The sequence below is a fragment of the Homo sapiens genome, chromosome 10 (genome assembly GCF_000001405.40).
Source record: "Homo sapiens chromosome 10, GRCh38.p14 Primary Assembly".
Taxonomy (NCBI): Eukaryota; Metazoa; Chordata; class Mammalia; order Primates; family Hominidae; genus Homo; species Homo sapiens.
Window position 1 is genome coordinate 132771187 of NC_000010.11, and position 21373 is coordinate 132792559.

Consider the following 21373-nt stretch of genomic DNA (forward strand, 5'->3'; position numbering starts at 1 on the left):
ATGAGGGCCATGTCATCCCTCTGGGCAGAGGACTCCCTGGAGGCCTCATCTCATCCCACCCAGCCCAAGACCCCATCTCCCAGGCCTGGGGTTCAACACAAGGAATCATTTCTCCTGCTTCCCTCGTAAGTGAAGGTAGCTTTTTGTTTAGTGCTGAGGGATTGACCCTGGGAGAGACCCTGCCCAGCACGGCCCGGCCTCTGCCTGGTTCCCACGCCGGCGCCGGCAGTTTTACCACCTTGGGCAGCTTTTGCCACATCCGTGCAATGCCAGCTCCATGAAATCAGTGAATATCACCTTAGTGTGCTCGTCAATGTAGATCTCCCCTCTCAGACTGCCGCAGGGGTCCCAGGGACCCACAGGGGGCCACACGCCAACTCCAGAACTGCCCAAAACTTGGAAGTATCCCCAGTGCCCATGAAGAGTGGGACGGACACTCAGCACTGACACGGAGGCCCCGGCAGCCGCCCCGCGAAGAGTGGGACAGACACTCAGCACTGACACAGAGGCCACGGCAGCCACCCCATGAAGAGTGGGACAGACACTCAGCACTGACACAGAGGCCACAGCAGCCACCCCATGAAGAGTGGGACGGACACTCAGCACTGACACGGAGGCCCAGGCAGCCGCCCCGTGAAGAGTGGGGCACTCAGCACTGACACGGAGGCCACAGCAGCCACCCCGCGAAGAGTGGGACAGACACTCAGCACTGACACAGAGGCCACAGCAGCCACCCGATGAAGAGTGGGACGGACACTCAGCACTGACACAGAGGCCACGGCAGCCACCCCACGAGGAGTGGGACAGACACTCAGCACTGACACAGAGGCCACAGCAGCCACCCGATGAAGAGTGGGACGGACACTCAGCACTGACACAGAGGCCACAGCAGCCACCCGATGAAGAGTGGGACGGACACTCAGCACTGACACAGAGGCCACGGCAGCCACCCCACGAGGAGTGGGACAGACACTCAGCACTGACACAGAGGCCACAGCAGCCACCCGATGAAGAGTGGGACGGACACTCAGCACTGACACAGAGGCCACAGCAGCCACCCGATGAAGAGTGGGACGGACACTCAGCACTGACACAGAGGCCACGGCAGCCACCCCACGAGGAGTGGGACAGACACTCAGCACTGACACAGAGGCCACAGCAGCCACCCCATGAAGAGTGGGACGGACACTCAGCACTGACACGGAGGCCACGGCAGCCACCCCACGAGGAGTGGGACAGACACTCAGCACTGACACAGAGGCCACGGCAGCCACCCCATGAAGAGTGGGACAGACACTCAGCACTGACACAGAGGCCACAGCAGCCACCCGATGAAGAGTGGGACGGACACTCAGCACTGACACAGAGGCCACGGCAGCCACCCCACGAGGAGTGGGACAGACACTCAGCACTGACACAGAGGCCACGGCAGCCACCCCACGAAGAGTGGGACGGACACTCAGCACTGACACAGAGGCCACGGCAGCCGCCCCACGAAGAGTGGGACGGACACTCAGCACTGACACGGAGGCCACGGCAGCCGCCCCACGAAGAGTGGGACGGACACTCAGCACTGACACGGAGGCCACGGCAGCCGCCCCACGAAGAGTGGGACGGACACTCAGCACTGACACGGAGGCCACGGCAGCCGCCCCACGAAGAGTGGGACGGACACTCAGCACTGACACGGAGGCCACGGCAGCCGCCCCACGAAGAGTGGGACGGACACTCAGCACTGACACGGAGGCCACGGCAGCCACCTGCAGCGAGCCGCCGCTGCGCACAGCTCCACAAGTGAGTTTAAAGCCGGGTTGCACAGGTGGAGAGGACGCCCTGGGACTCCACAGGGTGCTGTTACTGCAGGCGGGGAATCACCTCCCACCGCCCTCCCCGGTGGAGGCCTCTGGGCTGTGGGCCGGCGCAGGGTGCGGTGGGCTGGTGAACACCCATGTCCCGTGTGCACTCAGCCTTGTGTGTGCCTCACTGTGAAGTGAAATTTACTAAAATAAATGGAAAAGTTTAGAAGTTCTATTGCTACCCGTCAAAACGTTTCAAAGTTTTTATCATACGCAGAGCAGGTCCAGTGGGAAAAAATCACTCCTTCCCAAAGAAAGACTGACTCTCAGAGGTGGGAGAGGGATGTTTTCATTGAACAATTACTGAGCAAGATCGAGTTTTAGCTTCTGAAAAACACAAAAATATACGCAACACAGGAATGAACTGCGCAGACAAGTCCAACCAGAGGTCGTCTCTCTTTAATGGACACATATATTTTTAAATTAGGGATTAGGAGGCCCCTTTCAAACTTTCCGTGGGCCATAATTTATGTTCTCCTGTCTTTAGATGTGTATTTATAGTGTAATAATTATCTAGCAAAATGAACTCTACTGCCTGCGAGCTGGGTGCTCAGGAGGGAGCGAGGCCGCCCGTCCGCCTGGTGGTCAGGAACCCTGGGTGCCTGTGGCTCATACAGACTGTGGGACCTGTGCCGAGGGGGAGGACAGTGAGGGAACCCGTCCCACAGAAGAGGCCTGCCAAGGGTTCTGGTCACCCGGAGAGCTTTTGTCCCTCGAGATACGGGCGAGGGGAGCACCCAGGACAGCCTCCTGCTCTGTTGCCCGGGCTGGAGTGCAGTGGTGATCTTGCCTCACTGCAGCCCCATCTTCTGGGCTCAAGCGATTTTCCCCCCTCAGCCTCCCAAGTAGCTGGGACTACAGGTGTGCACCACCACACCTGGCTAACTTTTTTATTTTGTATAGAGACAGGGGTCTTACTATGTTGTCCAGGCTGGTCTTAAACTCCTGGGCTCAAGTGATCCTCCCGCCTCAGCTTCTCAAAATGCTGGGATGACAGGCGTGAGCCCCCATGCCCAGCCCCCCAGACCCTCTTGGAAGTCTGTGCCGCTTCCTTCTCCCGCTCGGTAGCTTCAGCATTGCCACAGCTGTAATCGTTTAGTTCTTTCTCTTTGGTTTTAGGGCCTTCTCCTTTTCAGGAATTCCAGTGGCAGCTGGTGTGTTTGGAAGCGGGTGTCTGAAGCCAGCATTGCCAGTGGTGCCTGCAGGCTGCACGGGAAGGCAGAGCTTTGATGAGGTCCTGCTTGTGACGGGGGTGTGTCAGAACCGTTTTCTCTGTAGTGTGCTGCACCCTCCTGCTCCGTGTACACAAGAGCGGCGTGGTAATTGGTTAATATTTTAACCAGGCGGGAGTCAGAGGAGGGGCTTTCACCCTGACGCCCACCTGGAGAAGTGAGGCTGCGCTCCTGCCGCTTCCTCTGAGCACAGCTCGGGGAGTTGGCGTGAACTGTCGCCGTTCACTTGTGGTTCAGGGCGGCTGAGCACTGTGGCGAAGCCGTGGGCCCCCACCCAGCCTGCCTTCTGGGGTCCTCCCAGGCCCGTTGGTCTCTCCTGTGCCGTCAGCCCTGCCCCAAGACCTCGACATAGCCGGGCTTTTAAGCTTGTTGTCTGCTTCTCGGGCCCGTGGCGACCCTACCTACCCAGCCCAGCCTGCTCAGGTTCTAAAGCTGGGCCTTGTCAGCAGGGCCAGTCAGCCTGGCCACAGCAAACAATCTGCCGTGCAGCCTACACAGGGGCTGCTGCCCGCATCCTACAGGGAGGAGAGAGGGGCAGGGAGGAGAGAGGGGCACGGAGGAGAGAGGGGTAGGGAGAGACGGGCAGGGAGGAGGGGCAGGGAGGAGAGGCAGGGAGGAGGGGCAGGGAGGAGAGAGGGGCACGGAGGAGAGAGGGGTAGGGAGAGACGGGCAGGGAGGAGGGGCAGGGAGGAGAGAGGGACAGGGAGGAGGGGCAGGGAGGAGAGAGGGGCAGAGAGGAGGGGCAGGGAGGAGGGGCAGGGAGGAGGGGGGGCAGGGAGGAGGGACGGAGGAGAGAGGGGCAGGGGGGAGGGGCAGGGAGGAGAGACAGGCAGGGAGGAGGGGCAGGGAGGAGGGGCAGGGAGGAGAGAGGGGCAGGGAGGAGAGAGGGGCAGAGAGGAGGGGCAGGGAGAGAGGGAGGGGCAGGGAGGAGAGGGGGCAGGGGGAGGGGCAGGGGGAGGGGCAGTGCCTGCAGAGGCTAGCACAGGAGTACGATTGTTCGCCCTATCACAGCCGCTCCCACGCTGTAGGCGCAGGTGCGCCCCTGTCCTGTGTGCCTCCCCCCCCACCCAGCAGGTATGCTTTCAGATAAGCCCACATGCCTGGCACTCCCACGTCAGTCACTGCTGGGCAGCGTCCAGGCCCCGCGTCCTGCTGCTCTGCAGCGTGGCCCCGCCAGCACCTCCCACCTGTGGGTACAGCGGTTGTGTGCAGTCCACACTGGCCTTCCCCAGACCCAGCTGGAACCAGCCCCTCCTGCATTTCTCCCTGGGTGTTGGGGGCCACAGGGAGCACCCCTGGCTGTGGATTAAGGGTGTTGCCCCCAACAGCCTGGCCAGGACACCTCTCTCACCCAGGCTTCTTCCTCCTGTTGAGTCGTCTGTGAACACTCCCAGGGAAGCCCTTCCTGGAGCAGATGGGCTGAGGAAGCCGCTGCCACTCTGGCATCCCTGTTCTCTCTTGCTCATCCCCAGAGCCCAGTCTGTCTGAGCAGCAATGCCCATCAGACCCTGTCCCATGGACAGAGGGCGGCTGTGCTTCCTGCCACGCCCTGGCTTCTCTCCGTGCCCCCAGGGGACGCCAGGTGGCACGGGCTCTCCAAGCTCCATGGGGTGCATGAGGAGGGAGAACTGGTTCGGTTCCAGCTTCCTATTTAGAAGTCACCTATTGTGTGCTGTGTGCATGTGTGTCCGGGGGGCAGTGGACGTGTGTGCGGATGCAATGGACATGTGTCCAGGGGCAGTGGACGTGTGTCAGGGGCTGGGCAGGCCCCTGCCTGCATCCAGTTTCCACTCGTGTCCGCGGTTGGGATCAGCTGAGAAGCTCCTGAACAAAGTGGCCCAGCCTCTCAAACATGTGAAATGGGGCAGGCCACCAGGTTGCTGGCTCTCCTGAAAGCATGTGCAGCTGTTCTCTGCTCTGTGCTCTTCAGAGACATGCATGACACGCAGGCCCTGCGTAGCTACGTTTTTAACCAAGCAGTGACTGCCCAAGGCCGGGTGGCAGCCGTGGCTCCTGTGAGTGTGGCTCCCGCTGGAGCGCGCGGAGGATGGGAGCTCCTGCGTCAGGGCAGAGCAAGTTCCCAGTCCCCGGCTGTTTCCAGGTGGTTGGGCACAGGGCCCACAGGCGCCCCTGTGGGCAGGGTCCGGGGGGCATGGGAGGGGCTGCAGAATCCGCAGCTGAGGTGCCGGGATGGACCCGAAACCCAATCACAGCCAACAGGGAAATTTCACAGAGAATCAGATCCCAGTCGCGACAGGTGCTGTATGATATTTTGGAATTAACTGAAAAAACTCTTGAGACTCTGGTGAAGGCCCCAGAGATGTTGAGAGTAAGCAGAGACGCTGCACTTAGGGGCAGGTGGCTGAGCTCAGCCACAGGACCCCCGGGGTTCGTTCACTCCAAGTGGAATTCGTTACCACTTCAGTGCAGTCCCAAGCAACATGCCCATTTGGGGGTGGGTTTGCAGCCTGATGGGTGGGTCGGGCCCCCTGAGAACCTGCAGGCCCGGAAGTGGGGGCTGTGCTTGCGTGTTCCAGACTCGGCGGGTAGTGGGGGCCATGGCCATGAGGCTCCAGGCTGGTGGGGGAGTGATCAGTCCGTGTGTGCGTGGACTGCTCTGCTGTGTGAGGGCGGGGGCCAATGGCTCAGAGACACAGCAAGGCCGCGGAGGAGCCCAGATGAGCTGTGCCCTGGCCGGCGGTGGGTGGTGGAGACGCAACCAGCAGACCCCAGGCAGTGTGGGATGCGCTCACTGTGTGGGTGAAGGGCTCCGCCCTCAGGGCTACTGGCACCGCCATGTGGCCAGCCCCATTCCCAGACCCGCAGAGGGCGTGGGCAGGCCCAGGAAGCAGTGAGTCGGGGACAGTCACCCTCCACTGCAGCAGTGACCCGGGGCCACAGCCTGAGCACCTGGATGCTCCCCGAGGTGGGAGCGGCGTTGGTCAAAGCGGAGACCACGTGTGCCACACCCCAGAGCTGCCTGCACTTACAGGCGTTTCGAGCTGATCCGGGCCAGGTCACCAGGTGGAGGAACGTCCTGGGACCAGATGACACTGGCTGCCATTTTGTTTCCATGGAGGTTTTCATCATACTTTAGACCATGTTCAAAAAACCAACAAAAACCAAAGCTCAACAGACAATTTCATGCAGTAAAGGAAGGACTGATGTGAAGATACTGTGCTATAGCTAAAATTTAGTCTCACATAAAAACAGTTTGATATAGAACTTAAATTGTGAATTTGGTTTTATATTCTAGAAACTTCCATGTGTGTATTCATTCCCCAGGTAGTGCTGGCCATTCTAAGGTGTATTGGGAGAGAATCGGCACAGCCGTCCCTTTGGGGCTGAGGACGGCCCGAGCCGGCCGGCTGACCCTCTGCCTTCATGTCTCCCCAGCTACCCGTACAGTGAGGACGCCCGCCAGGGTGAGCAGTACATGAACACCCGGTGCCCAGCCTGGTGTGACCGCATCCTCATGTCCCCGTCTGCCAAGGAGCTGGTGCTGCGGGTGAGTGTGTGCTGCCCCAGCCCTGGGCACAGAGGGATGTGGAGCGCTGGGTCTGGTCTGGCCCAGCCCTGGTGACAGGGCCCCAGGGGTGGGGGCACCCAGTCTGGGGAATGCTGCCAGGTTGGGCCCTGACCTCGTGCTGCCATGAGCTGCACCCCAGCATTGGGTCACCTCTGAGCCAGCACCTGGGCTGGGGCAGCAGCAGATGGAGCCGAGTTCCTGGGCCATGGGCAGCCAGCGTCATCCTGAGTTTGAAACATAACACAGGCGGTTAGCAGGAAGTGTTTTCAAATCGTGGTTCATTGTATCCTTGGAAGTCAACGTGCTCTTGTGCGTTCCAGCGCTCATGGGCTGGGCCGTGAAGCGCAGTAGAAATGTCTGAGGTTGTTTTCCTAAGTTGTAAATTAGAGCCAGATTCATTTGAGCCTCGATAAGTTAAAAATAAATAGGCGACATTTTCAGATGGCCTGGGCCTTGGGAAATTTTCAGATTTCCTGTGATTTTTTTTTTTTAATAATAATTTTTTTTTTTTTTTTTTTTTTTTTTTTTTACAAAAGAGGTGATAGGGGCTTGCTTGCTACATTGGCCAGGCTGGTCTCAAATTCCTGGGCTCCAGCATTCCACCCACCTCGGCCTCCCAAAGTACCCAGACTACAGGCAGGAGCCACTGCACCCGGTCAATCCTGTGATTTTTCAATTCCCACATTTTAACATACAAGGAGTGTTTTCAGAAGAATCAATATCTGAATTGGTTTTGTCAACCCCGTGAATGAAAATTAAATGCAGATAGTAATGAAAGCTTGCGGGTGTGCGTGGGAACTGCAGCTGTGCCCAACACCCAGAGCCGGGGCCTCTGAACATAACGTGGGTGTGCAATCGGAAGGAGGCTGGAGACTCTGGTGGTTCCACTGCCAGCCTGGTGGGCTCTGCCCCCTCTCCACTGTCCCAGGCCCAGAGCAGGGACAGGAGCCCCCTACTAACCCCGACTTCAACACCAGCTGTGTGAGGCTCCAGTTGTCCCTCACTGCCCATCTGTGTCTGTGCCAGACGGCACCAGACCCCAGGCACAGCAAACACCTGGGTACAGGTGTGCCCTCAGCAGGGCGGGGACCTCTGCAGCCCTGGTCCCTGAGATGCACCCTGCTGGCCTCTGCCATGTGGCTCTGTCTGCCGGGCCGGGTTCCTTACTGTTCCTTCCTACATCCTGGAGCACCCTGGGTGCAGCCTGCCCTCCGTCCCTGGCTGTGCTGTGAGGAGCCTGCCTGGTGGGGGCCTGGGCTGGAGGCGGGGCCCCTTGGCCAGAAGTCCCTGGGGTCTGCAGCCAGCCTGGCTCCTCCGCAGCCCCACCTCTGGCCTGTGGGCAGGGCCTGTGCCCATCATTGAGGAAAGTGTGCTGGCCACAAGCCCAAAAGCCCAGGAGTGGGCTCGGCCTGGAGCCTGGCTGTGGACCTGCCACTGCCCCTCTGGCTGGGCTCACTGGTAGGCACGCCAGTCCCTCGGTGCCACATGGTGGGTGCTCCCATCTGCCAGTGCTGAGAGCGGGTCAGGCATGTGGAGCCCAGGGCTGCCACCAGCGGGGCAGGAGCCTCCCGGGGACTCGGGCACAGATGCCATCCCCTGGGAAAACGTCGGAGGTCACGCGAGTGCAGATTGGTGAGCAGCGCCCAAGGGCAGAAGGCTGGCAGGGCTGTGGCCTCCCCACATTGTGCTGCCGCTGCCAGGGCTCCACCAGCTCAGAGCAGGGCAGCGTTGCAGCCCGTTTTCCATTCACTCACAGCCTCTCGGGTTCTCTGGATCCGGGACTTGACACTTTATGCTCAGGGTGGGGGACAGAGCCTCACAACACACACCTGGCGGCCTTTGACAGCCCCTGCCTTCTGGGGCTGGAGTTTGGACAGGCTCTCCCCATGGGGCCACCCAGTGGGCAGCGGGTGTGCAGGACAAGCAGACGGGCGCCGGGCGCGCTCCGCAGCCTCATCCATCATGACACGCGCCGTCACCTCGTCACCAAGCTCCGTTCTGCCTCCGGAGCCCTAAAACACCAAAAGGGGCTCGGGACGCGGGCGGTGCTGCTTGGGGAGCCTCGGTGACAAGTGTTCAGTGAGGTGTGCCGCACGCTGCCTGTGCCCGCCGTAATTTGTTTATCTGTCCAAAGATTATGCAGTTGAAAATCCACAATTTTATGCTGCCTTTGTAAATTACCACGCTGCGTTTGATGAATGTTTCTCCACTTCTGCGGAGGCGCCGCTTCACCCGCGAGAGGCGGGAAGGTGCTCATGCATGCGGTGCCGAAGCTTGTTTTCTCATTCTTTCTGGCAGGCGCCCATGCTGGAAAGTAAATCTGACCTTGAGCTTCCCACTGCATTAAAGATAACTCAGTTTTACCTGGATAGTCTCAGATGCTCCAGCTGTGGATATAAAATTCCAGCCCAACCAGAGCCGAGTGCTGACCAGCAGCAAACCCCTTCCGGAGGCGCCCGGAATACAGGCACCTGCTGGGAAGTGCGCACACAGCCGTGAATTACTGTGCACAGATTGCTTTGTGTAGTGGTGTGGAATTCGGTGTCTGTTCTCGTTTGAACACTGAGTTCTAGGTTAATAGAACAGTCAAAAACAAATCAAAGTGGGAAGATTGGAACTAGATGGGCTGCCGCACTCAGAGGAGCACACCTGCACAGAAAGCTGGGGCGCACACACTCCTGTGAACAGGGTCCCCTGCAACTCCCCTGAGAGCCCAGGAGCATGTCCGGGAGAGGGGAGCTTGGGAGCCGGGCCAGCACCCGCGGCTCCCCACGCGACCCCTCCTAGAGGCAGATACCTGTTGTCCAAAAGGGCCAGGGTCAAGGTGCTGAGGCGCTGCCACATCACCAGAGCCTTTGGTCCATGAGCTGGCCTCTCTCTCAGGGGCCAGGCAGGGCGGGTGGCAGAGGCTGGGGAGGTACTGGCAGGGGCCGACATCCCCATCTCTCTGCCCCCACAAAACCCTGATGTTCCTGCCAGTCAGCTCCCAACTGGACCCAGGGTGCCCCACCTCCCCACACTCACCTGTCTGTTTCCCCTTTCCAGTCGGAGAGCGAGGAGAAGGTTGTCACCTATGACCACATTGGGCCCAACGTCTGCATGGGAGACCACAAGGTGACATAGACTGAGGTCCAGGGGCCAGGCTGGGGGACCAAGGGGAAGCTAGGGGGCCGGGGGGCTGGGGCCAGTGGGTGGGCGGGTGCTGGGGCTGGCAGGCAGGTGGGCGGGGGTTGGCCAGTCTCTCCTCTCCTGTTCTCCTGTCTTCTTAGTCTGACTACAGAGTAGGCCAAGTTGGTCTGTTTTTATTTAATTTTAATAAAATATCATAAGCTAGGTGGGTAAGTAGGAAGAAGGCAGAAATGACGTTACAATAGAATAAAATACATAATTTAATATTTGTAAAAAAATGTCCACAGCTGATTGTTTCTGAAGGCTGTTTTGCAAATATGCAGCTTCAGTGTTTTAATGGCCTTCTTGGGGCAGGCTCACTGTCAGCCGAGGAGCCGGGGTGAGGGCGCTCCCCACCGTGTGCCAAGGGGCAGCACTGGCACAGATCGTTTATTCAGGCAACTGCACCTCGAGAGTGTGCACAGGAGACAGATCAAATCTCATTTTCAGCCAATAAATGAGTTAGCTTCTTCCACGTTGGAGGCCCAGAGCTGTGAGCCCCAAACACACCCGGATAAGACGCTGGACCTGCCAGGTGCGGCAGAGCCGAGGACGGGAGAGCCTTCCTTCCCCGCTTCATTTGGGGCCTATTTAGCCATTCTTTTACATCAGTTTTTCCATTAATTTTTTTACCTGGAAATAACACCTTCCTTGCAAAACCTCTCATGGCCGGCCTGGCTCCAGTTCCACATTCACGGGGCCCCCAACCCCTGCGCTGCCGTGGCTGTGCACAAGGGCCGAGCTGCCTCTGCTGGCCATCAGCTCCTCCCAGCCCGGTTCATGGCTGCCCTGGTGAGACGCAGGGTCTGGGGGTGCAACGGGAGGCGGCGGCATGTGCTGTGCTGTCCCGCGTGCGCCGTGCTGACACCGTCCTCTCTTCCTGCTGCAGCCCGTGTTCCTGGCCTTCCGAATCATGCCCGGGGCAGGTAAACCTCATGCCCATGTGCACAAGTGTTGTGTCGTGCAGTGACGTGGTGGTAAATATGACTCCTCCCTCCAGTTCAGCTTTTACGCAGCTTTTCCTGGTGCGTTTGTTCCTTTAACAAATTACGAATTCCGTGACAGGGAAGAGATGCCAGCGCCACGAGAGGACACTTCGTGAGCCTCCCTGTAGCCGTGGACCGAATACGCACTCTTGAAAGCTGCATCGAGAACCCGCCCAAGCGCCACCTGCTAGACGGCCAGCCCCACACTTCGCTTCAGCCTCCGGACCATTCCGGAGCAGCCTCACATACCTCACTGTCTCGTCTGTCTATGTGACATTAAGTAGAAATATTGGTTTTTTTTTTTTTTTTTTAAATAAGTCACAGTCCTGTTGTCAAAACTCTAATAGACAGCAAAGAGGGTCTGTACCGTAGACTTCACAGTTTTCAGTTTTTAATGATTGCCAGTGGAGGGGCTTCTTCAGCACAGAGACCCCCCACTGTGTCCAGGGACCCCCTCTGCCAGGTGGAGGTGTGTCCAGGGGCTGGGGAAGCCGAGACGGGCACTCCCTCTGCCGGCCGGCAGCGTGGCCCTGAGCATGGCAAGGGGGTCTGTCTCTGCCGATGCTCCTTCCGCGGCACTGACTCTGCGCCGTGTCACATGGTTTTTGAATCACACTGCAGCTGCTTTCCATTTTTATATATATATAAATATATATAAATATATACTTTTTAAAAATAATTTATAAATCTTACCAAAACTTATGCTAAATATACTTTCCAGTATGAACGCACAGGAGAGTCCCATCAGCAGGCGGCATTGGAGTCTAGGAGCTCAGCTGTGTGTCCATCAACACACAAATTCGTAAAAAACACACATGGCCTCGCCATCGTGGGTAAAATCGGCCCCACAGCACGTCTGCACCAGCGGGCCGTTACTCCCATGCCGTTCTTCTGTGTAATATTAAGAACTGAATGTGAAGTTTATAGCTAGCCTGGGTGTACCTTTTAAGAATTTTGTAAACCGTTTGTCTGTCTTTTGTTACTGTTTTATGGTGCCAAGTATCCTACGTTACAACAATAATATCATGGGAGAAATAGAAATAGCCTAGTTTGCTTCCAATAGAAACTGCTTTTAACATGGGCTGTATATAAAAATATTAAAGAGAAACAAAACTGTACATTTCCTCATTGCTCCGCTACAGACAACCCATGTCATAACCTTGTTGCAAATATTTTTCTCCTATAGCAGTAAGTACAGCATTAGAAGGTGATTAGAGAGTCTGTTGATGAAACACAAATGTATGTTTTATTGATTTTACTTTAGAACACTACAGAGTTCCTGGACCGGGTGAAGGCATTAGCTGGGTGTTTGTGTGGGATAAATACTACCACTGCAAGTGACTGCTGTCCGCTGCGGAATCTGTTCTTGGTGGAAGCACAGGTCCGTGTCGCTGCTGTGGTTGCCGCTGTCCGCGGTTCAACACGGAGTCCGCCCCGCGGGTTTCAGCTGTTGGTCGTTCTGAGGGGCCTTTGGAAGTGACCGGTCTGGTTCCTAAGCAATAAAATTGACCGTGGTGAAAATAGTCCCGTGTTGCTTTTTCTTCCTTTCCCTTCTCCTGCCACCTTTGAAATGCTAACTCAGGGGAGCGGCCTCCTGTATAGCCTGTTATTTGAGATCAAGCTCATTAGAAATCCTGGAATTTCACTGTATCACACGCTGTCACAAAACACTAAGCCGTTCATTGAGAGGAGAAACACAGCCTTTTGGACTTTCTACTGTAATAAAGGATTTATCCCTCAACATTTTAAAACGGGATTATATCAACGCTTTGCCTTCCTCAAAACTTTAAGAAGCCCCTCTGCTCTGAGCTGAGAGGGGCTCCCCACAGAAAAGCGTTGCTTCTGCCCTTCGAGTTGCTTCCTTGTAAAGAAGGCTGCTAAGAGCCTAAAACAAAACGCGCCGAGTTTAAGCCCTTTCTATTTCCCTTTAACGCTTCCGCAAATGCCAAGAGAAATCGTACCACCGCAGTGATATCATTATTTACATTTAATTTTTAAAAATTAAAACTCAACAGCCACGCCCATTAAGATGCAGCGATGGGCAGCCCCGGCCACAGAGGCTGCGGGAGGCTGGAGGGGTTTTGTCAGCCGCAGTCACAGCCCCGCGGAGCTGGCGGCATTTCAGGGCAGGAGACGGGTCCCCCGAGCCCCCGGCTGGGCGCTGCGGGCCTTGCCCAGGGGGCCTCCGGCTCCCTGACCCCGCGTGACCCACGGGAGGCCCCGCCGCTCCGCGGGCGGAATTATTTCGGATTTCTCTTTGCGGTCCTAGTTCGGAAGAAACTGCTTTCCACCGCGGGAAGATCTGGCGGGATGGTGACCGAAGGGCCTCCGTGCAGCGGATCAGACCCGGTTCCACCGGCTGAGCCCAGGGCGGGCCTATGGGATCCGCTGATGCGCAGAGGGACTTTGGAAATAATCAGAGCGAAGCCCTCGGCCAAGCGGGAACGGGTGCCCGGTGGCAACGAGTACGTGGCCCCAAAGCGGGAAAACGGAAGAAGAAAAACCTCCCGCGGGGACTCGAGGCGGGTACGCGGCTCACCCGCCCTTTCGGGAACCCCCAAGCGCGTCCGAATCCGCCCCGAGGCGAGGCGGGCCGGGCCGTACCTGCTGCTCCGTCCCCGGCTCCGTCCCGGGCTCCTGGCGGCTGTCGCTGCGGTTCCTTCCCGCGGGCCGGGCCCCTTCCCTGCGCCTTCGCCGCCTCCTCGCGCCTGCCCGGGGCCCGCAGCCTCCGCACCGGGAACCCGGAGGACCCGAGGCGGGCGCAGGGGCGAAGCCGGGGCCGGGGAGGGGCCGCCTCGCTCCGGGTTCGAGACGGAAGAAACACGCGGCGCAGGCTCCGGAGCGACGGCTCCGACGGGGACCCGTTAAATAATTTATTGATGATACAAAGCGACTCGCGCCCACCCGGGGCCGCCCCCGGATTCTGCAAAAATAGATTCGCCCCCACCCCGCGGGTCCTCACAAGGCGTCCCCCGCGCCGCCGCCGCACGGGCTGACCAGCGCCAAGTTCGAGGGTTTGTGCTTCTTGAGCAGCCGCGTGATCTTCTCGTCGTCCGAGTTGGGGTCCAGGGGCCGGTTGTATTCGTCGTCGTCCTCCGCGTCCGAGCCGCCCACCTTCAGCTTCTCGGCGTCCGAGTCCTGCTTCTTCTTGGCCGACGCCATCTCCACCGCGTGCCGCTTGCGCCACTTGGTCCGGCGGTTCTGGAACCAGACCTGGGAGTGGACGGGGCGGTCAGGCGGCCGCGGGGCCCGGGGCTGGCGCTGGGGCCGTTCGCAGGACGCGGGCCCCCGGCTCTGCTCTCCCGAGCCCCGCCGCGCTCACCTTCACCTGGCTCTCGGTCATGCCCAGCGAGTAGGCGAGACGCGCGCGCTCCGGGCCCGCCAGGTACTTGGTCTGCTCGAAGGTTTTCTCCAGCGCGAAGATCTGCTGGCCCGAGAAGGTCGGGCGCGAGTGCTTCTTCTTCCCGTCCTTGTCCAGGACGCCGCCGGCCGGGGCTGCAAGGGAGGGGAAGGGAGGGAGGTCAGCGGCCGGCGGGGTCCCCCTCCGCGCCCACCCGCCCCGCACCCCCCGCGCGGGCCACTCACCCGGGCCAGCCAGACGCGGGTCCCTCCAGGGCGCGCCCTGCACCACGCCGGGCCAGAAGATGGGCGGGCGCCCCGGCAGCTCGGCCAGGGGCTTGGGGTAGCCGCGCGCCACAGCGGCCGCGGGCCCGAAGTAAACGCCGGCGGACGACGCGAGCCCGTTGAGCCGGGGCAGCCCCCCCAGGAGGCCCCCGCCCGCCGCGCCCACGGGCCGGCCCAGGATGTCGCTGATGCCGTGCGGGGTCCCGAGCGGGAGCTGCGCGCCCAGGCCCCCCAGCGCGGGCGCCTTGAAGCCGGCCGGACCCTGCAGCGCGTAGGGGAACAGCGACGTCTTCATCTCGGCCATGTTGTGCAGCGCGGCCAGCGGGGCACTGCTCAGCACGAACGCGCCCGGGCGGTTAGTGTCCATGGGCGCCGCCGCCGCCGGCCCGGGCTCCCATCCGGGCCCCGCCGCCGCCGCCCCTGCCCGCCGGCCCGGGAAGTTTGCGCGCGGCCCGGGCGGGCGTCGGCTGCAGCGCGGGGCGCGGGGCGCGGGGGGCGGGCGGGCGGCTCCGGCGCGGGGCGGGCGGGCGGGCGGCGGCGGCGGCGGCTCCGGGGCCGGTCGGAGCGGCGCCGCGCGGGACGGACGCGCTGATAACGGGGGCTCCCCGGGGCGCGGCGCGCGCGCTGATTGGCTGCGGACCCCGCGGTCCGGCCATTGGCCGGCGCCCCCCCCCCGCCCGCGCGCCCCCGCCGGCCGCGCACTCCATGAAGGGCCCATTAGCGCGGCAGGTGCCTCCCGGGCTGTAAATTCGCCCCGATTTATCTCCCCGGGGACGAAATAAATCCAGCTTGGATGGGAGTGTAGTTAGGCAAAGGTTTTCATGCGAAATCAGGAAAAAATACGAGAACGTATTTTATTAACGGAAAGAATGCAGATTTGAGGACCCGCCCGCGCGCTCGGAGCGCCCCACTCGGGGAAGAGTCCCGGCCCGCGTCCCAGTCGCGACTGCTCCGCCGCCCGTGGCTGGGGTGGGTGTGAGCGGCAGCGGACGCCGGCGGGGAACGCGCTCCGGGCAGGTCGGGGCCACAGGAGGGCGGAGGACGCGGGCCTCGAGTCCACGGAATCCACGGGCCTCACGGCCGGGCGAGGCTCGCACGGAGCTGCCTCTGGTTTCGCCGACACGCGGCCGGCGCGGTGGAGGAGTGAGGCAGGCGGGAGCGGGGCGGGGAGGCGGGTCCCGGGACCACACGCGCGGCTCGGCACTTCCCCGTCATCGGCCTCCAGGTCTCCCGCTGGGGGTCCCCCAGGATGTGACCTGGGCCCACGACTTCGCCCACGGGCCGCCTCTCGCGAATCCCCGGCCGGGAGAACAGAGACCAGGACGGCCTCAGCGCGGAAGCCCTGTCCAGGGCCCGAACGTGGGTGCGGGCTGGGGGCGCAGCGGCAGAAACGCGGCCTTAGACGCGCGCGGGGGGCCGGTGTCCCCCCCGCCCCCACGGCACCGGGAGCCGCTCGCTCATCCATCCCGCAGACCGGGCGGTGAGATGACTCCGAGCCCCGCGCACGGCGGCCGCGAGCAAACGCTCCGACGTCTGTGGTGACGTCTCGTATTGATTTAGGGACACGGGGCGGCTGTGGCTGTGGCCCACGGCTCGTGGGGAGCCCGAGTCTGTGCGCAGGGAACGCCGCTGCGTGGCCTCTCTCGGGCCTGTGCCGCGGAGGAAGGCGGCGCCCGGGGTTCGGGGCCGGGGTCTCACGTCCGCCCCCTCGCCCCCCTCCAGCGTCCGTTTTCGTTTTGTGCAGGTCGAGGCGGGGACTTGGCGCCGTCGGCCGCTCCTGGATGGCGGCTTGGAAAAGCCACCTGCGGCCAAACTCCGGGGCAGTGGTGCGGCCGCCGGGTGTGTGCGCGCTCGGGGCTGCCCCGGCGGCTTCCGGCTCCACTGAGGTGCAGCCCCGCGTTCACGGGGGGTTCGCTTCCCCCGTCGACTCCGCACTCGATTCGACTGGGATTGGGATTCGATTGGGCGCGGCCGCCCCACCGGTGATCGGCCCCCGCGGAGCCTGGCCCGGGAACCCCCAGCGCCCGTCCGGCCCCGAGACCCGCCCCGGCCTGTCCTGCGCCCCGCTCCCTCGGAGGAGACACGAGGAAGGGCCCTCCCGGGTCGGGTTCGGGCCCCTCCCAGCACCCCAAGGCGACGGCGCCCGCGCCCAAGGCTCGGGCTCTGAGCTGAGACGCGGGAACTGCGGGGCCGGGGGGGGCGGGCAGGGGGAGTTGGGGGCGGGGGCTGCTGTCGCCCTGGGATCCCCCACTCTGCGCGGCCGGGCAGACCCTGGGCGGGCCGGGAGGGGTGCGGGTCGCCCGAACTGAGGCCCAGGAGGCGCGCGCGGGCGGAACGGCGGGAGGAAGCCGCGCTCGGGACAGGCTCTGGCTCTTCTCACAGCCTGGAGGGGCGGGGCAGGGGGCGTCGCTAGCGCTGTTTTATGGCTGAGGAAACATGGACCTGGAGGCGCTGCGCTGCGGCCCGATAAACCCTGGGTCTGTCTGCGCCCCCCGGTCCTCCCTGGGCTGCCGAGGGAACGCGTGGGGTCGCGGGTGGGGCTGGCGTGTCACTGGCTGCGGAGCGCGCGGCTCTCCAGGGCTCAGGGGCGCGGGATGAGGGGCCAGGGTGAGTTGGGGGCGCAGAGGAGCCGGGTAAGGGGGGGTCCCTCTCCCACGTTCTTGTAAGCCGTGGAAGTCTTGGCGCGCTCCGCAGGTGCCGCGTCCTACCCGGCTCCCCGGCCTGCGCCCCACGCGCTTTCCCGCCCTCCTCCTCGCGGAGCTGCGCGTGGGTCCGGTGGCTTCACCTCCTACGCTTCCCGGCGCCCACTCCGGGCCCCGTCCCCTCTCCGGCCCCCGCCCGCACCTTTTCTCCTGCGTCCCCCGGTGCCGCCCTCTCGGAAACCACCGAGGCAACTCCCCCTCCTCCCGGGAAGGTCCGAGCGCCTCCGACCGCGATGTCTTTGCCTGGGCTCCGCCGCCCGGCGGCCCCGCTGCCTGGAGAGGTCCGCGATGCCACCTCCTGGCCCGCGAGCAGATGTCCCGCGAGGAAGGCTGCCGGCATCGGCGCCGACGCTCCGCGCTGGAAAACCGAGAGCGCGGGGTTTGGCAGAGGCCATTCAAGTTTGTTTTACTCGTTCAGCCTGTATTTGTGGGGCTCCTACCGCGCCCGGGCTGTCCGGGGGGTGCACCGTGAACGCAGCGGGCTCCGGCCCGGGCGCGGGCGGGTCAGAGCAGCAAACGCGCTCCCCCGGCACCCCCGCGGCGTCTGCAGGGGAGCGGGCGACGGGGAGGACGGCGGGGGTGTCGGCCCGGAAGGAGAGCCGGCCTAGGCCCCGGTGTCCCCGCGCTGGGGGCTGAGGGGCGACGGGGGAACTCCACAGAGGGAAGGAGCCTGCGTTCGCCTTCGGCCGCCCAGGCCATAGAGTTCACAAACTCTGATTTATCACTGAGGTGACTTGTCCCGCGCAGCCCTAGGCGAGTTGCCAAGCTGCCCGCCCTGACCGCGCCCCCAGGCCGGGGGTCTCCTAGCAGTTCCCGGCAAAGGCCCTGCATTGTCTTTTTTCCCGAAGTGAGCGCATTCCCGGCCTCTCCAGGCTTGACAAGGTAACCGCACCAGGCATTCCAGACACAGACGGGGCCTCCCTGGGGTCCTCATGACCAAAGAACCAAAAAAGGCCCAAGATGACTCAAGGGACCCCTCTGTGGGCCCCACCCACGGAAGCAGCGGCGTGGGGTTACCAGGACCCCCAGGAGCCCGGGCCCAGGCGGGGTGCCTTCTGTTGCTTGGAAACAGAGGAGCCCACCAGGACGCTCTGGAATTGCTGGAAGGGGAAGGGGGGCTAGAGAAAACCCCACCCCACAACACAACTCGAAGGGGCCCTGCCTCCCACGCAGGACAGACCCCAACCCCATCTCCCGTGCCCTCTGGGGGCAGCCCTGCCAGGGCAGCGGGAAAGGGCTGGGAGGCAGGCGCAGATCCCAGCCAGGCAGCCCCGGCGTCCCACTGGGCTCATGGACCCAGCCGGGTCTGAAAGGCCATGAGCGCTGAGGGCTGGGGTGGGGACCGCCCAGGGGTGGGAGTTGACGCCCCTAGGTGGGCAGAGGAGGCTCCACTCCTCATCCTGGCCTAGCCTGGCCCCTTCTCACACTTCCAGCACTGCCTGCTGAGCACCAGCCTGCTAGCAGCGGCTTTATTTCAGAGATCGCGAGTCTCCACCTCCACCTGTTTCCACCTAATGCCATCCCATGCCTGCCAGGCCCTCCACTGGTCCCCTCGTGGCCCCCAGGCTCACCCACCCCGGCCACTCTGCCCCCCCACTTCACAGGGCTCACCTCCTCCACGCGGTCTCAGCTTGAGGGACGCCTCCCTGGCCACCCGGTCTGGTGCAGCCCCCACACTCCCACTCAGCACGGCTGCCCCTCTTGGCACTGGCCCCCTGCCGAAGGCATTAGTGGATGTGTCTGATGTCCGCCTCCTCGCCACCTTGCTCAGGACATGGATGGATGCAGGGGCTCTGTCCTCTGGGCGCCTCCAGGACTGAATTCATGCTGCTGGGTGGGTGAATGAACGCAAGTGTGACAGCTGCAGGCCTCAGAGCAATTTTCAGAGCCCGGGTGCGGGTTGGAGAGGGAGGACCGCGCACCTGACTTCCCACCGGGAGGAGCAGGTACTGTGGAGGTGCCTCCAGGAACCCTGAGCCACAGGACATGCTGGATGTGGGGCCTGGCGCCGTGGCATTTCCCAGCTGAGCCTGAGGTCTTGCTGTTTAGACCAAACTCAACCCCACCCCATCTCCTGAGCTGGAGGGTGTCCAGGTAGAGCCCGGCAGCTTCTGGGGTACCCAGCTGTAGGTGGGGCGTCCAGGTGCCCCCTCTTCCCAGGCTATGGCGGCCTCTTGCCCACTTGCCAACACCTACAGGTCCACATGAAGTGGAGGATCAGGCTCTGGGGAGAGGGTGCCGCTTCTCCCCAGGCCGAGTGGCCCAGGACAGGGAGGGAGGCTTTGATGGAAGCTGGGGTGGGGCCACAGTGGGTGCCCGGGCACCCGAACACTCTCCCTGGAAGATATGGGCCAGGCTGTGGAATCTGGAACACCCGCGGGTTGAGGAGGCCCTGAAGGGGGGCTAAGAGGGCAGGGGCTGGGAGGACCTGGATGGCAGGGGAGGGAGAGCTTGCCTGAACTCTCTGAGCACCCCTTCAGGGTGGCCCCTGCCCAGCCTTTGTGGACCCTCTAGCTTCACTGGGCCTGAAGTTCCTTGCACAGCCTGGGCCCTGGCCGGGCCCCTCCCACCTTGCAGGGCCCCCTCCCTGAATCCTGAGCCCCAGGTTTCCTTCCAGCTTCTGTTCTTTAAAAGTCACTTGTAAATGCAGCAGCCACGGAGCAGCACCTACCGAAAGCACAGAGAGAGACACACAGAGAATGGTCCGAGTTCTTCCCCTGAACAACCAAGTTCTTCCCCCGAACCGAGTTCTTCTGTTGTCACGAGCATCCACTTCCTTCTCGTGACGGAGACGCTGCGGGCCGCCTGCCCGTTCACACGCGGCTCCGCACCTGGGCCCTGCAGCATCTCTCCCACCCACGCTGAGGCTCCATCCCACAGGTGCCTCACTCCCTACAGCGCCCTGAGGACCGAGGCTGTCCAGGTGGGGTGGGAGGGGAGAGGGCGAGCAGCCACCCTGAGGCAGGGCAGGGGCTGGACACTGGGCCTTCCAGTCTCCCTGCTGGCTTAGCCTGGGGGTCTGGTGGGCACAGTAGAAACCGCCCTGGCCTGGCCAAGGAGGTTTCAAGTCTTCCTGCTCCCCAGGGAAGGGGTGTTCAGAGATTCCCTGTGCCCCTGGGTGGGAGTGACCAGAGGCAGCCGATGGTGTTGGGAAGGGGCCCTGCCCTGCCCGGAACTAGATGGAGGGCTCTGAGGGCCCCACGGTGCTGCCAAGAGACAAGGTCCAGCCCTCCCAGGAGGACACCCGGGGGTGCTGGGTGCAGACAGGCCAAGCTTGAGCAGTGGAGCTGGGGGGAAGAGGGGCAGCAGGCGCGCCCTCACCACAGGACCCCTCGGCAGGGGCCCCAGTGGGTCCCTCGACACCCAGACGCCATCTGAGGAAGAGGAGGGGCCCTTTGCTCATTGGGAGGACACTTTTTCTACTGCAGGAGGCTGGAATGCCTCAGTGGAGGTGCCTTTTTCTGCTGAAGCACAGGCCAGCTCTGACCAGCTGCCAAGGCGGCATTGGGGGCTGCGGGTGGGCCTGCCAGGTGTTTGAGCCCTGATGCAGAGATTTCAGGGGACGCCGTTCCTCAGCCTCAGCCCTGCTGCGGGGCATTTTCATGCACACATTGGACTCCAGGAACCGTGTGGGTGCAGCGTCTACACTGGGTCCAGGAACCGTGTGGGTGCAGCGTCTACACTGGGTCCAGGAACCGTGTGGGTGCAGCGTCTACACTGGGTCCAGGAACCGTGTGGGTGCAGCGTCTACACTGGGTCCAGGAACCATGTGGGGGTGCAGTGTCTACACTGGGTCCCGGAACCGTGTGGGTGCAGCATCTACACTGGGTCCGGGAACCGTGTGGGGGTGCAGCGTCTACACTGGGTCCGGGAACCGTGTGGGGGTGCAGCGTCTACACTGGGTCCCGGAACCGTGTGGGTACAGCGTCTACACTGGGTCCGGGAACCGTGTGGGGGTGCAGCATCTACACTGGGCCCGGGAACCGTGTGGGGGTGCAGCGTCTACACTGGGCCCGGGAACCGTGGGGGTGCAGCGTCTACACTGGGTCCGGGAACCGTGTGGGTGCAGCGTCTACACTGGGTCCGGGAACCGTGTGGGGGTGCAGCGTCTACACTGGGTCCGGGAACCGTGTGGGTGCAGCGTCTACACTGGGTCCGGGAACCGTGTGCGTGCAGCGTCTACACTGGGTCCGGGAACCGTGTGGGGGTGCAGCGTCTACACTGGGTCCGGGAACCGTATGGGTGCAGCATCTACACTGGGTCCGGGAACCGTATG

At 62.3% G+C, this 21373-nt stretch overlaps 2 protein-coding genes across 4 annotated transcripts in view, besides 2 other annotated features; one reads left to right on the top strand and one right to left on the bottom strand.

Annotated features, from left to right (window-relative positions):
• INPP5A (inositol polyphosphate-5-phosphatase A) overlaps positions 1-12294 on the top strand; it is a 245694-nt gene extending 233400 nt beyond the window's left edge. For all 3 annotated transcript variants that reach the window (NM_005539.5, XM_017016204.2, NM_001321042.2), the window contains 4 exons: positions 6485-6596; positions 9663-9731; positions 10675-10762; positions 10851-12294. In NM_005539.5, the coding sequence (NP_005530.3) occupies positions 6485-6596; positions 9663-9731; positions 10675-10755 (262 nt within the window). In that variant the 3' untranslated portion in view covers positions 10756-10762; positions 10851-12294. The remainder of the gene's footprint in view (positions 1-6484; positions 6597-9662; positions 9732-10674; positions 10763-10850) is intronic.
• Positions 11995-14961, bottom strand: NKX6-2 (NK6 homeobox 2). The gene is made up of 3 exons (NM_177400.3): positions 14357-14961; positions 14094-14266; positions 11995-13984 (listed from the first exon to the last, which is right to left on the bottom strand). The coding sequence occupies exons 1-3, from the start codon at positions 14760-14762 to the stop codon at positions 13730-13732; spliced, it is 834 nt and encodes a 277-aa protein (NP_796374.2). The 5' UTR covers positions 14763-14961; the 3' UTR covers positions 11995-13729.
• Positions 17513-18307: an enhancer, noted in NCBI's record as "H3K27ac-H3K4me1 hESC enhancer chr10:134602203-134602997 (GRCh37/hg19 assembly coordinates)". NCBI's record gives its function as "activates a minimal SCP1, AML or CMV promoter by ChIP-STARR-seq in naive H9 embryonic stem cells {active_cell/tissue: H9 hESC(naive)}" and the evidence as "EXISTENCE:reporter gene assay evidence [ECO:0000049][PMID:30033119]".
• Positions 20819-21320: an enhancer, noted in NCBI's record as "H3K4me1 hESC enhancer chr10:134605509-134606010 (GRCh37/hg19 assembly coordinates)". NCBI's record gives its function as "activates a minimal SCP1, AML or CMV promoter by ChIP-STARR-seq in naive H9 embryonic stem cells {active_cell/tissue: H9 hESC(naive)}" and the evidence as "EXISTENCE:reporter gene assay evidence [ECO:0000049][PMID:30033119]".